We start from the raw sequence: 14615 nt of genomic DNA, 5'->3' as shown, positions 1-14615 counted from the left end.
TGTCTGTTCTCGGGAACTGAGGGCCGTTTTGGGCTGGGGTTTTAGGAGGGTCCTGGTCTCTGCTGTGTCTGTTCTCGGGAACTGAGGGCTGGTGGACCTGGCTCGGTGGGGATCCTCTGTAGGCAGTCCAGCCTTTCTCGCTCCTGTGGTCTAGACAAGCCCAGTCCCCGTCGGGAGGTGGCTGTGGGACTGCTGGGCGGGAGCTCCCTGTCCGCACCTTCCCTGTTAACAGAGCCATCAGCACTTCCCTGTGGGGCTGGCTGTGGAGACCGCAGCTCGTTGGGATGAGAGCCCCACACTTTCAGGGACCCTCCCTGCCCCCCTCGGACATCTTGTGGGCCCCTTGGTACTCTGGCACCACAGTGGGCCCCAGCTGTCTCCAGAGGCCCTGCTGCCACGTGGCTGGGGGCTTCAGTGACCTCGAAACCCTGCTCCCCCACCCCCACCACTGAGGGAGAGGCCGTTTGTTCCTTCTCAGTGGGAGATCGCAGGGGAACCCTCTGACGCACGCAGAGCAGGTGCGCGTGACCACCCTGCCCGCTCCGCATTCCCGTGTGTGTGTGAGCAGGTATGGCCTGGGACTTCCAGGGGTTTTCATTTTTAATACCTCGTTAAACTCGAGTGCTTTCAGGACTGATTCGGTCACAGCAACTCTCTGGTCTCATTTAATGCAGTCTCTGCAGAGGGAGGGGACCGGCGCAGAAGGGCAGCTTTAAAGACATACGCATTCATCTTGCCATTTTCCAGGAAGGAGTAGGCAGCTGGGCTTCGGCCCGAATGAGAGGGCTGTGCTGTGTCTGATGAAGGTCCCTCCCCCTCTAAATCGCCCTCCTCGTGCTGTTCTGGAACTCCAGGAAGAGGAAGACTTCTCCCTTTTGACGTTATTTCCCTTGTATTCAGCGTAGATCTGACTGACACACAGTGGCACTTAAGAAATATTGCTCTAAAATGAACAAGCGTCACATGCTGGGTTTTATTGTAGAAGTCCCATCACGTACGTAGTATCTCCTATATCGATTGCCCAACTCCTATTCATTCTACAAAACCCAACCCACAGGTCACCTTCTCTAAGAGGCAGCCCCCAACCCTACCAGGCTGAATTGAAGTTCACCTTCACCAGATGCTTAGAAAGGACAGCAGGACAGTCTCTGCCACCAACTTTCCCTTGTCTTCCTGCTTCTGTTTCTCACTGCTGAGATAAACGCTCCATAAGGGTCATTCATAAAGGAGCAGAGCACAGAGAGGACACCTAACTAGGCCTGGGCCTGGTTCACTGTGGTAGGAGGAAGGGCTGGGGATAATGAGGTCCCGAGAGCATTCACGATTCCCATACTGGAGGATCTGAGCCATAGGTCCATACGCTGTTCGACAATCCCTGCTCCTGTCCCCTGAGAGCCAGGCCCTGGGCTTTGCCGCTTCATCTCAGCCCTCACAACTCTGCAAGGTGGGTGCTCCAGCCCCCATTTTGCAGTTGCACAAATTAAGGCTCAGAGAGGGTAGGTGACTTGCCGGAGGTCACACAGCATGCCTCACATAGCAGAGGGGGAAATGAAACCCTGTGCTGTGGCCCGGGACATTCCCCTGGGCCTAGTCCTTGTGACCTGGCCCAGGGGCTGTTCTTTTTTGGTTCCTGAATATTTTTAGATGGTGGGAGGCTCTTTTACTGCTTAGAAAGAAGCCCCCAAAAAGAGGGAGTTACGGCCAGGAGGGACAGTCCGGTGGACGGGTCTCCTTCCGGGAATCTGGTAGCTGGGGCCTGTGCAGGTACCCGCCTATGTGGCTTGGCGAGCTGGGTGACTCTCATGCCCTCTCTGAGCCCTGGTTTCCCCACCTGTAGAAAAAGCAAGGCCTCCCTCCCTCATGGGTCGTGGTGAGGGTCTGCCAGGGCGTGTGAGAACAAGCTCCCTGATGTGTAAAGCGGTTCTTGTCTGTCTGTCTGTCTATCTCTCCGTCCGTCCTTCCCCACATGCACACCATCCAGTTCCCAGCCGGCTTCTTCAGAGGCTCGATGCGCCTTCTCTCTGCTGCCCCCACCCCAGTCCCCTGGGGATGAAGCACCCTGAGGTGTGGACGGAGGTCAGGAAACATCCGACTCGGTTTCCTAGTAACACACTAATGGCAGCTTGGTACCCTGCTTGGCAGCATCAGACAGCCCGGGGCCAGTGCGGCGCATCCCAGCCTGTCAGCAACACTATTTTATGTCCGCCGTAAACACACAGGCTCACCAGGGGCAGAAAGCAGAGTTTGTTGGTTTTCTTTTGATTTTCTGTGGGCGGCGGGGGCAATGGCCTCTGAGCAGCTGCCTTTCTGTAACAGAATCGGGGCAGGTGGGCGAGGTTGTTGGGCTGGGGCCTCAGGGTCTCGGGCAGAAGGTGAAGGTGGCAGGTTTTGCCGTCCCTGGAGAGCTACAGCCGTGCTCGGGGCCCCTCCTGGAAGATTTCAAGCTATTGTGAGGACAAAAATAATGGTCGGGATTTAGCATCTGTCAGCGCAGCTGACTCCCAGAAAACAGCAGGAGTGAAAGGATGAGACGGGGCAGGAAGGAAGGAGGGGTGGTCACTGGCCTGGGGTGGAGGGAGCTGGGCTGGGGCCCAGGTCTGGCCGTGGAGGCCCATTCACGTCTGGGCTTCCACATTCCTGCCTGGCCATCTCGGGCCTCCTCATGGACCACTGGACAGAGAAGAATGATCCCTGAAACCCACAAAAGCAACACAGCTGAGCAGGAACTAACGCAGCACCAACCCCCATCCAACTTTTTAGTCTCCTAGGTTTTAAAAAATCTGTCATTTTTAATGCTGACCACACTATGTGTTGAGACCGGCCCCTGTGCTAAATGCCGTCTCATTGAATGAGCCCCTCCTTTCGCCCTCTGGGGTGATAGGCCATGCTCCCACTTATTGAGCACCTACTGTATGCTCAGCCTCTACTGGTCTTGTACATGATGGCTGATCCTTGGAACTGTCACTCTCCTGTTGCAGATGGGAAACCGAAGCTTAGGTTATCCTGGTTGCAGTTACAGAGCTAGAAACAGGAAGGGCTACAAAGACAACCCTAGTTTCCCTCGCTGCCTCCCCTCCAGGGGCTCAGGAGCGACAGTCAAGTTCCTGCCAACAAGAGACCCACTGCGGCCCGCCTGTTCCGAAGTGATGAGGACTGGCCTGCTCTGTGGACCAGACACTGGTGTGGCATGGGTGTGGAGTTTTTCCACGAAGTATAGCCTCTGATGACACGGAGCCTCCACACGCTTCTTTCTAGCCGAGACACTGATGTGAAAAGGATCAGTGTGTGACACAGCAGCCTGCCACAGAGCCACAGGAGAGTGATGTAATTGTGCCACGGAGATTCCAGAGCCACTTGCAGACGTGGCAGGGCCTTGAGGTGCTTTTCAAGGACTGGGGGAGAGTGGGCTGGGTCCAGAGGGAAGGCACGACAGCCCGGCCCCTCCCCTGTGGGATTGCGTGGAGGGCCATGTGGGGCTGGCGCTCTGGTTCCGTGTGCCGCGTCTTCGCTGAGTTCTCGTCAAGCTCATGTCTAGTGAGAACGCTGAGGTGAGGGTCCTTGCACAATGGGACCCTCCTGCCCTGTCACTGCCCTGTACTCCCAGGAGACTTCAGACCCCTCAGTGGGTCTCATAGTATACCCCTCCTCCAGCCCAGCCCCTGAGGGTTCCCTCTTCCTCCCAGTGGACAGCTGTGGCCCTCAGGTACACTGGGCCTGCTGGTCATGACGTAAGTGAACCTGCCTTCCAGGTGACTGAGACTGGCCGTGTGTCACCTCCCTGTGCAAGAAACTTGTTTATGGAGGCCGGGCGCGGTGGCTCACGCCTGTAATCCCAGCACTTTGGGAGGCCGAGGCGGGCGGATCACGAGGTCAGGAGATTGAGACCATCCTGGCTAACACAGTGAAACCCTGTCTCTACTAAAAATACAAAAAAAATTAGCCGGGCGTGGTGCTGGGCACCTGTAGTCCCAGCTACTTGGGAGGCTGAGGCAGGAGAAAGGCGTGAACCCCGGAGGCAGAGCCTGCAGTGAGCCGAGATAGTGCCACTGCACTTCAGCCTGGGCGACAGCGAGACTCCGTCTCAAAAAAAAAAAAAAGAAAAAGAAAAAGAAACTTGTTTATGGAGATGGCATCTTTGCCAAGAAGCCAGGTAGCAGTGGCATTTCCACGTCGGTGATGGCCAAAGGAAAGGAGCTATTAGGGAGCAGAGCTTGTTTCCCCAAGTGACACCACAGTAGTGTCTGCCTCTAGGATCTGTTCCGTACCTGGGAGATTTCCTGGTGCCAGGATTCAGATGCAGCTGCTGCCTAGTCAGTCTCCCCACTTGGACTGTGAGGTCATTGGGACAGATGGCCATTGTCCCCTGTGTCCCAAGGACCCAACATATTTCTGATGCAGAATCGGTCATAGGAGAAATACTGGTTAAACCCATTACATCTGGTAGGTTTTTATCTTAATTACTAAGTTTATATTATTAACATTGTTTTATCAAATACGTTTGATTTTATTTTCCTAATTTAATTTTATTTTTTGAAAAACCACTTCTTTACCGTTCCCTTTATTTCTCCCTCTCTCATCATTTAGAATATGTGTGTCATGAAATTTCAGTTCCACTGTTTTAGAATTTCAAATGACACAGAGGAACCCATCTCTCCCAGTGTTCATTGACCAGAATCCAGATGGTTGGGAGAGCGCTTTGGACGAATGAAAAGTGCCATCCGTGTGGCCAGGCTGATGGTCAGTGCTCTGGGCTCCACAAGGAGGGCCCGGTAGGAAGGGAGCCTAAGGGTGTGGCAGGCAGAACCGGGTGACCCCAGATTCCGCCCCCCCAGTATCAACAGGCTCGGATAACTGACATTGGATGGAAGGGAGAGAAGGGATGTTGTCTGCGTGTTTAAGATGATTCTGTCCCAGAGACAGATTCCCAAACACAGCTTCTCCTCTAGTGTTTTTGGTTGCTCACTCTTTTTTTTTTTTTGAGACGGAGCCTCGCTCTGTCGCCCAGGCTGGAGTGCAGTGACGCGATCTCGGCTCTCTGCAAACTCCACCTCCTGGGTTCACGCCATTCTCCTGCCTCAGCCTCCCAAGTAGCTGGGACTACAGGCACCCGCCACCACGCCCGGCTAATTTTTTTTTTGTATTTTTTAGTAGAGACGGGGTTTCACTGTGTTAGCCAGGATGGTCTCGATCTCCTGACCTCGTGATCCGCCCACCTCGGCCTCCCAAAGTGCTGGGATTACAGGTGTGAGGTTGCTCACTTTTAACCTCGGTGCCCCGGGCGAATGACAAGAGGTTAATGGGAAGTGGTGCATGAAGAATGAGCCCGTGTGAAGGAATGTTCCTCGTAGTCATGGATTAAAGAAAGAAAAACAACACAGGCGTGGCTGGGCACAGTGGCTCATGCCTGTAATCCCAGCACTTTGGGAGGCCAAGGCAGGCACATTGCTTGAGGCCAGGAGTTCGAGACCAGCCTGGCCAATATGGTGAAACCCCGTCTCCAGGAAAAATAAAACAATTAGCTGGGCATCATGGTGAGTGCCTGTAATCCCAGCTACTCGGGAGGCTGAGTATCGTTCATAGCATCTCGGGTCCAAGAAAGAAATCACCAAACGCAAGAAACAGGAGAAAGTGAGTCATGCTCAGAAAAGAAGAGTCAATAGAAGCCAACCCTCAGATGACCCAGATGTTGCAATTAGTGGCTTCCAAGAAGCATAACCAGTGGGATCTCTGTAGATGGCTGGGGGGATTTATTATGGGAATTGGCTTATGCAATTATGGAGGCCAGAAAGTCCCGCCATATGCTGCCTGCAAGCTGGAGACCCAGGAAAGCCAGTGATTTAACTTAAGTCTGAGTCCAAAGGTCAGAGAACCAGGGAGCCAGTGATGTGTCAGCCCAAGGCCAAAGGCCTGAGTCCTGGTGTGGGATGGGCAGGTGCTGGTGTGTGTTCTGGAGTCTGAAGATCTGACACCCAGGAGGAGTTCCGATGTCTGAGGGCAGGAGACGGTGGATGTCTCAACTTCAGAAGAGAGCAAGTCCACCCATTTTTTTTTTTTTTTTTTTGAGATGGAGTCTTGCTTTGTCACCCAGGCTGGAGTGCAGTGGCGCGATCTCACCTCACTGCAAGCTCTGCCTCCCAGGTTCACGCCATTCTCCTGCCTCAGCCTCTTGAGTAGCTGGGACTTCAGGTGCCCGCCACCATGCCTGGCTAATTTTTTGTATTTTTTTAGTAGAGACGGGTTTTCATCATGTTAGACAGGATGGTCTCGATCTCCTGACCTCGTGATCTGCCCACCTCGGCCCCCCAAAGTGCTGAGATTACAGGCGTGAGCCGCCGCGCCCGGCCGCCCTCTGCCTTTTTTGTTCTACGTGGGCCCTCAATGGATTGGATGACACCTGTCCGCACTGGTGAGGGTAAATCTTTACTTGGTCTTCTGATTCAAATGTCAATCTCTTCTGGAAACCCCCTCACAGACACACCTAGAAATAACGCTTCACCAGCTCTCTGGGTAGTCCTTAGCCCAGTCAAATTCACATACAAAATCAGCCATCACAGCAGCTATTATAAATACGGTCACGGACTTAGAGGAAAACGTACGACAAATGAATGAGCGGATGAAGAGCCTCAGCAGGGAAATAGAAACTACTGAAAAGTGGCAAATGGAAATGCTAAAACTGAAAAGCACGATATCTGAAATGAACACTCTACTCGCTGGATCAGCTTGATTAAAAAGTTGCACACGGCAGAGGGAAAAGTCGTTGAACTTGAAGATAGTACGGTGGAAGTTACGCACTTTATTATTTTATTTTTTATTTTTTCGAGACAGAGTTTCACTCTTGTCTCCCAGGCTGGAGTGCAGTGGTGCAATCTCAGCTCACTGCAAGCTCCACCTCCCAGGCTCAAACAATTCTCCTGTCTCAGTCTCCCGAGTATTTTTAGTAGAGATGGGGTTTCACCATATTGGCCAGGCTGGCCTCGAACTCCTGACCTCAGGTGATCCACCCACCTCGGCCTCCCAAAGTGCTGGGATTACAGGCGTGCGCCACCACGCCAGGCTGGAAGTTACACACTTCAAATAACAGGGAGGAAAGAAGCCTGGAAAGAAGGGACAGAGCCTGAGACGTGTGGGATGATGTCAGGACGTCTAACACGGGTATTATTGCAGTCTCTCAGAAGAGGAAGAATGAAGGAAGCAGAATAAACATTGAAAAAGAAAAGGCCCAATTCTTCCTAAATTCCAAAGCCTCTGTCGTAATACTACAAAATGTTTCTGAGAGAAATTAAGGAAGACTTAAATAAAGTATATACTATGTTTATGGATTGGAAGATGTTATCGTTAAGATGGCAGTTCTCCCCAAATTACACTGTAGACTCAATGCAGTGTCTACCATGATCCCAGCAGACATTTTTAAAAAAATTGACAAGACGGTTGTAAAGTTTACATGGAGATGCAGAGGACCTTGGAATGGCTTAATCAGTCTTGTAGAAGAACAAAGCTAGATTTACATTACGTGATTTCAAGAGTTTCTATGAAATGTATCAAGACACAGAAGTGTTAGTGTAAAGATAGACAAATAGATGGATGGAATAGAGTAGTTATTCCAAAATAGACTCACCCTTATTTGGTCAATTGGTTTCTGACAGAGATCCAAGCAATCCAATGGTAAGGTTTTTGTTTGTTTGTTTGTTTTCTAAGAGTCAGGGTCTCACTCTGTCGCCCAGGTTGGAGTGCAGTGGCACGATCATAACTTATTGCAGCCTCAAACTCCTGGACTCCAGCAATCCTCCTTCCTCAGCCTCCTTAGTAGCTGGGACGACAGGCATGAGCCACCATGCCCTGCTCGAAAAAGAGGCGTTTTGAGAAATTGTTCTGGAACATGTGGATATTCCTATGGGAAAAAAGTGAACCCTGCTACTTCATACCACGCACATAAATTAACTTGAGATGAAATCAGAGACCTAAACAGAGTGGCTAAAACTATGAAGTTCCGATAAGAAAATATATTGTGATTGAAAGACAGCAAAGATTTCTTAGACAAGGCACAAGGATTTCTTAGGACACAGGACAGAGCCAGGATGCGACTAAGGAAAGGTGATAAATTAGGCTTTATTAAATTAAAGGTGAATGCTTGAATATCATTAAGAAAGTGAATAGCCAAGCTAGAGACTGGGGGAAGAATCACAAAACATATCTGACTAGTATCCAGAATATGTGAAGAACTCACCGAATTCAATAAGAAGACAGACAACCAATTTTTAGAAATGGACAAAAGTCTTGAACAGACTCTTCACAAAGGAAGGTATACAGTAAGGACGCAGGAGACCCCTCAGCAGCGTTAGCCATCAGGAAAGTGCCAAATAGAACCACAGTTCTGTTTCACTCCACACGCACTCTGGGGGCTGAATGGAAAAAGACCGGCAACAGCAGAAGCTGATGAGGATGTGGCGCAGCTGGGGCTGGTGAGCGCTGCTGGCTGGGGGTGTAGAATGCACCCACTTTAGAAAAGCATTTGTCAGCTGCTTATGAGGTTGAGTCTAGACCTCCCCTTTGACCAGGAGTTCCAGTCCTAGTGGAATTTTGTTTCCAAAGGAAAAGAAAGCCTGTGTAACCCCCCACCCACCACACAGGCGTGCGTGCATACACACGCACACACACAACTTGAATGCTCATATAGCAGCTTTTATTCACAATAAGCAACAACTTGGAGGCAACCCAAATGTCCATAAAGAAGGAAGATGGGTAGCACGTTGTTGTTCATGCCGTGGATTAGTACTCAGCAGTAAACAGGAATGAGCTGCAAATGTGGGCAAGTCAGAATGGATGTGTCTCAAACAAGATCCAATGTTGAGGGGAAGAAGCCAGGCACAAAAACAAATCTAACGCACAACACCGTTGACATTCTACAGACAAGGCTCGTCTGTGGTGAAGAACAGTCAGAAGGGTGGTTGCTCGGGGCGGGAAGGAGACTGATGGGGAAGGGCAGGAGCTCCGGTGAGATGAAAATACTCTATGGTGTGGGAGGGCATGAGTGACACAGGTGTAGCCACTTGTCAGAAAGGTACCACTAAGGGCGTATTTTGATCCTTAAAAAGCTTAGCAAAAATATTATGAGAACCCTATGCTTGGCATTTCTCACCAAGCTTCAGACGCAGCGGGTGCTACACAGACGTGGACTTGTACCTAGATCCGGGCGTGACAGTTCTGTCTTCAAGATGGGGCCAGGGAAGAGGGAGGCGGGCGGGGGACTCTGCCTTCCACACCCCTTTTCTAGGTCCACCCGGGCTTCAAAGCATCCTTCGAGTCTCATCTGTTCAGGAAGACTCTGACCATCCCAGCCTTCCCTATTCTCTCCCTCCTTAATATGTTTGGGCTCCAGATGGAGCTCGTGCCTCTTCCATCCCGGGATCAGTGGATCGTATCCTGTATTTCCCGGAATACGTTCAGGCCTTGTCAGAGCCGGGCACGTCGTAGAGTCCTCAGTAAATGGCAGTGCAAGGCCACTGCGGTGGGAGGCACGAGTGAAGGATGTGTGTCCATGGCATCTGAGAGACCTGCAGCAGCCCGGGCTGGGCTTTCCCATCTGCACTGTGACAAGCCTGGGGCTCCTGGGGGAGAGGAAAGACGTTGCATGTCGTCAGCAACCGGTTCTGGTCGACCTGTGATGGGGGCGGCATGGGGGCCTTTATGAACAGGCTCCTGAGTGGTGGGGGAGAGCCCTGGGCTCTGTTGGGACACCCCACAGTGTGGCCGTTTGCCATCCCTGCACGGGACGATCTCCAGGCCCCTGTCCAGGTCCGGCTTGCAGCCGTTTTTGATCCATGTCATCAGCTCTTGCAGCATTTAACGGCCAACCCCCCTCCTTCCACCTGGCCTGTTGGAGAAAAGCTGACGTCTGTCTCTAGACAGTCTGAGTGGCCTCATCTGCCCTCGAGTTGTCTCGTTCAGCAGCCTGGAAGCTTCCCTGTCTCGCCTCGCCTCCAGCTGTCAAGAGTTTTCGACAGAGGCTTTGCCGCCAGCCTCGCTCTGCCACGTGACGGAAACGTGGGGTGGCTGGCAGCCGCTGAGAACAACCCCTGCAGTCACTTGCCTGCATCCCTGGTAGCCTGGCGGGCAGAGAGGTGGGGGCTGTGTCCTTGGGGACAGCATCTGGAGAGGCAGGGGAGGTGATTTGTGTCATCGCTGGTGGCAGTTTCTAAGGCAGTCGCCGGACCTGGCTGGGGATGGACCTTTGAGATGGGTTAGTAAGAAAACCTGTGAGCTCACAAACACCCTTCCTGCCTTCATGTCTGTTCCCAGGGGAGCCTCTGTCACCAGAATGTGGGCCCAACCCGTCTGACGGCTGCCTTTACCCCGGCTTCAGTTCTCCCGCACGGCTGAGCGACACCCAGATGGACCTCTCATGGTGGAGGGCGGGTGGGGAGAGAGGAGAGGATAGTGAGCGAGGGCCACAGCCCTGCCCCTTGCTGGCTGTTTAACCTCAGTTTGTTTGTTTTAATCTGCACAATGGCCACAGTGCTGTTACCGCCAAGGATTCTGTGAGGCCCAAGAGAATAACTGTTTTTCTACAGGCGCTGGCACACAGAGGGGCTTGCCCATGGGTCGGTGGCTCTTTGAATGCTGGTTGGAGGGTTCGATCAGTCTGGTCTGTCCCAGGGCCATCTGCCCTCTGCCAACTTTGCTCCTCTGACCGGCTTTCATCCACCTCACTCACGACTGTAGTGGTGCAGAAAATGAAGTACCCGGAGCAACAGCTTCCTCCGCCTCCTTTGCCCGCCTGCCTGCGGGAGGCTCCACAAGGCAGGAGCTGGGCTCACCCCCGGCTTCCCCTCTAGAGAGGCACAGATGCTTTGCCCACAGACGGACGCCGTGTGGCTTGTGCATTGCAGCGTGTCCTCCAGGGAAGGTGCTGAGGGCCTTCCTCGAATGCACACGGGCCCTCCCTCTCTCAAGTAGACCTTGAATGGTCCTCCCCAACCCAAGCCTTAAAAGGCGACAGCTGATATTCAAAGGCGAGGTTTGGGATGAGGCCGTGGCACACAGCGTGGCTGGGGAACCCGTTCCTGAGTACCGCAGGGATTGCTCCTGCCCCGGCTTCTGTCCCTGCCTCGCCTCCCTGCGTGCTGGCCATGGAAGGGGGTGCTCTGCATTTATTTCCGTCCTTCTAGCAGTGAACTTTGCCACCCACTTTGAGCCCGGGATGTGAGATGTGTCCTTGTGCAGGGGTGAGGGCTTGCAGGACTGAATACACAACCTGTCTGGGCCTGGGGTAGCTCCTGCCCCTCCACCCCCAGGTGCAGTGAGCCCCCAACGGGGCCTGTGGGAACAGGGGGTGGTTGGATTGGCTCAGTTGCTGATTCAGTGAAAGACTTGCTGAGCCCCAGCAGGTCAGGTGTGGAGCATCAGGAGGGCTGAGGAAGCCCAGTGTGGGGAGGGGCCAGGCTCATCCGCTGCCACTCACAGAGTCACTGGAAATGTAGCCAAGGAGCTGCATCGAGTACACGAGCGTCTGCAAGAGTCCAGATCACAGACCAAGTGGGGATCCTGGTGGGTGTCTTGGAGGAGGTGGCCCGTGAGCTGAGTCCTGCAGGCAGAGGGGTGGCTTGTTGGAGTAGGACCATGAGCTAAAACAAAGCTTTATTGTATTAGATTTTGGTAGGAATTTCTTTGGCTCTGGTTTCAGAAGGCAAATGACAAACTCCGGGTCACCCTCCATGTACCCGGAAACTTTGCACCTTGGATCCAAGGACTGCAAGAGCCAGGGCTGAGCCGGAAGCACTCAGGTCTCCAGGTCACAGCCTTGGGCCAGGGGAGAGAGGCTTCTGTTCTGGAGGCAGGAGCTGGGGGCTCCTGTCAGGTAGGGGTGGGAAGATTCTGGTGAAGGCAGGGGTCCCGCCCCTGGACCTCTGGCCTACGTCCCCAGCATTTACCAAAGGGCTGGAGAAGTGGGTTCTTTGTCCTGGCAGATCCCTCTGAAATGCACCTAGTGGAGGCAGCAGGCAGAGCACTGGAGGATGCGCCTTACGCTGCCCAGTTCGCACCCACAGACGCCCTGCAGGCGGGGCCCACCCCACTTTGTAGACTGAGGCCCGGGCAGGTGACCTCGCTGTGGCCCCAGCCGCCTGCGTCCCTCGTGGACCCTCGTGCTCTGCGGCTCCCCGGTCAGGGTGGCGGGAGCCTCCCCTCCCCTCTAACCCGCCTCCTCCTGTGCAGCGAGCATGACCTGGGGGAGGACATCTACGACTGCGTCCCGTGTGAGGATGGAGGGGACGACATCTACGAGGACATCATCAAGGTGGAGGTGCAGCAGCCCATGGTGAGCCCTGCCCCGCTCCTCCCTCCCTTCCCCTCCCTTCCCTCGCAGAGCAGCCTGGCCCTTGCTTAACACAATACCGAGCTGTCCCCATGTCTGAGCCACCGAAGGGGAGCTGCTCTGGGTGCAGGGGGACGTCCAGAGGTGCACCCCTTGGTCCTTCCCAGTCCCCACGGAGCTCCTCTGAGGAGCATCCTTGGAAACCCTGGCTGACTCCTGGTCCACTCTGTGCCCTTCCTCTCTATGGAGATGTTCTCAGGTGCCCAGAGATGACACCACCACGGTCATGACCCCCGCCCGTGTTGCCATGGGATTCTCCTTCCAAGGGCTTGCAGGCCCCTCAGTTGTTCCTGCCCAGGGAGCCTTAAGATAGTAACTTGGCGCATGGTCTAACAGCACGCGTCATTTTCCCCCTTTGTGTGGAGAATGATGAGACCAATATTGGCCCAATTAGCCAGCTGTGCGTCTTTTATGTTTGGAGGATGTTTATTTCCAAGCAGGCACTGGCGAATAATCTCTCGGACGCCAGTTTGCTCCGCGTGGGTTTATTGCCAGCAGCTGCTATGTGGAAGGTGGGGATCCAGCGGAGCTGGAATGAGGAGACAGGGACCTGGTAGGGCAGGTCACAGGCCCTCAGACCCCCAGGCTCCCAAGAGTGGGTGAGATGCCACTTGCCAACCGTGGAGGCTTTTGATGCCATTGGCTTCCCCCAAAGAAATAGGAAATTTCTCAGAAAGCTGATTTCAGTGTTTTCCTTTAGTGTGGGAGTAACCAGCTGGTGGTGGAGAAGCAGAAAGCTGGGGAAACAAATCCCTAAAGAGGCCTTGCCCACTCTGCTGGCATCCTGCTGGGAGAGACAGGCAGGTGCAGGGCTGGGGGTCTCACAGCCCCCAAACTGACTGTTAAGAGCAGGTTTCTCTGCTTGTCCTCGAAGGGTCTCGACTGAGTTTTGTTCCCCGCCATAACCGGGGGGTCTCCCCCGAGGGATGGTGGCCCTTTGTGGAGGCAGCAGGGCCTCCAGTTTGCCTTCCCGGGGAGCCTGGCTGGGTAGCTGTTAGGGCTGGAAGACTGAGCCATGGCCCTGCTGCTGGGGGCTCCCCTCGCCTCCCCGGAGCTGGCCTGAGAGGTCCCGAGGCGGCCGGCGAGCCGTCTGGACTTGGGAATGAGCTCTGACTGGTCAAGGCCAGTTCACTCCCCAAGTTGTTTGAAAGCTGGGCGTCCTGCAGGTAAACTTCAGCAGGTGGCTGCGTTGCCTGTGAGGTTGTGTGGGGGATCCTGGCCCTGGATCCTGCAGGCTCTCTTTCTCGAGACCCCCATCCATGCCTGGTGAGAGTGGGTGCTCCCTGGAGCCCGCTGCTGTCCCTGGTTCTGAAGGTCTCAGACCTCTTTGAGAAAACGCATGTGAAAGGACATGGAGTGTCCACAGAACCTGCCAGGCTGGGGAACAGCGCTGCCTATGTCCCGCTCTGCACAGTGTCCTCATGCCCAGCGCTGGTCCCGCTGGTCTCGAGCTGTCCAGTCCATCCAGGCAGGGGCTGGGGGCAAGGGGCAGTTCCTGCTTCCTGCCAGGGTCCTCTGAGATAAAACAGCTGCTCCATGTCCTTCCCTGTCATGTCTGGAGCTCTCTGAACAGCCCCAGTGGAAGGTAATAGAGATGGTGACTTCCCCAAAGGAAGAAGAAGCCAGAGGATGGCAGATGCCATTTCCTGAGCCTGGGTAGGGGGCTGCTATGGGAGCTCTGGCCCATGAGCCATCGCCCTGCCCAGCTGGGCAGCACGAGGGGCCGTGATGTGGCTTTGGGTCTGTTGGCTGGTTGTGGGGTGGCGTTCCTGATGTCCCAGGCCCAGCTTGCCAGGACAGTGTGGGCCCTGCTAACCGGCGCTGTTTCTGGTTCTTTCTCCACGCTTGCAGATTAGATACATGCAGGTGAGTGGCCCGGAAGGGGAGGCTGGGGACGTCCTGCCTGCGCCGTCTTCTTGACCTTTCAGGGAGGTCTCAGACCTCTCTGAGAAAACTCGGGACCCTGCCCCCAGGAAGACATGGTCAGGCACACATGACTTCAGGCATCAGAGACCCTCGGCACCCCCGTGGTCCTGTACCCACAGCCCCATCTTGCACGTTGCCTTAGAGACCTGCAGCCTGGCAGACCCAAGCGGACCCTTGGGGATTTCTTGGAGGATGATGATGGTCTTAGGGCCGACACGAGCGCTGTGGGTCACAGCACCATTTCTCCAGAGCCTTCTGACAGGTGGGGTTTACCCAGCCTAACAGAACCTTAAAGACAGTGTTGGGAAAATCCATCACT

The 14615-nt window shown here is 54.2% G+C and overlaps 1 protein-coding gene across 9 annotated transcripts in view, besides 6 other annotated features; it reads left to right on the top strand.

The window, feature by feature from the left end:
• The window catches only part of VAV2 (vav guanine nucleotide exchange factor 2), a 230431-nt gene that overhangs the window by 167898 nt on the left and 47918 nt on the right, over window positions 1-14615 (top strand). For 5 of the 9 annotated variants that reach the window (NM_003371.4, NM_001411028.1, XM_017015109.2 and 2 more), the window contains exon 5: window positions 12211-12313. In NM_003371.4, coding sequence (NP_003362.2) covers window positions 12211-12313 — 103 coding nt within the window. Of the gene's footprint in view, window positions 1-12210; window positions 12314-14221; window positions 14237-14615 lie in introns of all 9 variants that reach the window. The other 4 variants (XM_017015110.2, NM_001134398.2, XM_017015108.2 and 1 more) reach the window with 1 other exon arrangement.
• Window positions 64-173: an enhancer, noted in NCBI's record as "active region_29253". NCBI's record gives its function as "activates an Ori minimal core promoter by ATAC-STARR-seq in GM12878 lymphoblastoid cells {active_cell/tissue: GM12878}" and the evidence as "EXISTENCE:reporter gene assay evidence [ECO:0000049][PMID:35858748]".
• Window positions 1224-1313: an enhancer, noted in NCBI's record as "active region_29252". NCBI's record gives its function as "activates an Ori minimal core promoter by ATAC-STARR-seq in GM12878 lymphoblastoid cells {active_cell/tissue: GM12878}" and the evidence as "EXISTENCE:reporter gene assay evidence [ECO:0000049][PMID:35858748]".
• Window positions 1654-1703: an enhancer, noted in NCBI's record as "active region_29251". NCBI's record gives its function as "activates an Ori minimal core promoter by ATAC-STARR-seq in GM12878 lymphoblastoid cells {active_cell/tissue: GM12878}" and the evidence as "EXISTENCE:reporter gene assay evidence [ECO:0000049][PMID:35858748]".
• Window positions 9625-10378: an enhancer, noted in NCBI's record as "H3K27ac-H3K4me1 hESC enhancer chr9:136679171-136679924 (GRCh37/hg19 assembly coordinates)". NCBI's record gives its function as "activates a minimal SCP1, AML or CMV promoter by ChIP-STARR-seq in naive H9 embryonic stem cells {active_cell/tissue: H9 hESC(naive)}" and the evidence as "EXISTENCE:reporter gene assay evidence [ECO:0000049][PMID:30033119]".
• Window positions 11135-11889: an enhancer, noted in NCBI's record as "H3K27ac-H3K4me1 hESC enhancer chr9:136677660-136678414 (GRCh37/hg19 assembly coordinates)". NCBI's record gives its function as "activates a minimal SCP1, AML or CMV promoter by ChIP-STARR-seq in naive H9 embryonic stem cells {active_cell/tissue: H9 hESC(naive)}" and the evidence as "EXISTENCE:reporter gene assay evidence [ECO:0000049][PMID:30033119]".
• Window positions 11890-12645: an enhancer, noted in NCBI's record as "H3K4me1 hESC enhancer chr9:136676904-136677659 (GRCh37/hg19 assembly coordinates)". NCBI's record gives its function as "activates a minimal SCP1, AML or CMV promoter by ChIP-STARR-seq in naive H9 embryonic stem cells {active_cell/tissue: H9 hESC(naive)}" and the evidence as "EXISTENCE:reporter gene assay evidence [ECO:0000049][PMID:30033119]".

Source organism: Homo sapiens, chromosome 9 (genome assembly GCF_000001405.40).
Source record: "Homo sapiens chromosome 9, GRCh38.p14 Primary Assembly".
Lineage (NCBI taxonomy): Eukaryota > Metazoa > Chordata > Mammalia > Primates > Hominidae > Homo > Homo sapiens.
The sequence above is the reverse complement of the archived record's forward strand: the minus strand, read 5'-3'. Positions and strand labels throughout refer to the sequence as shown.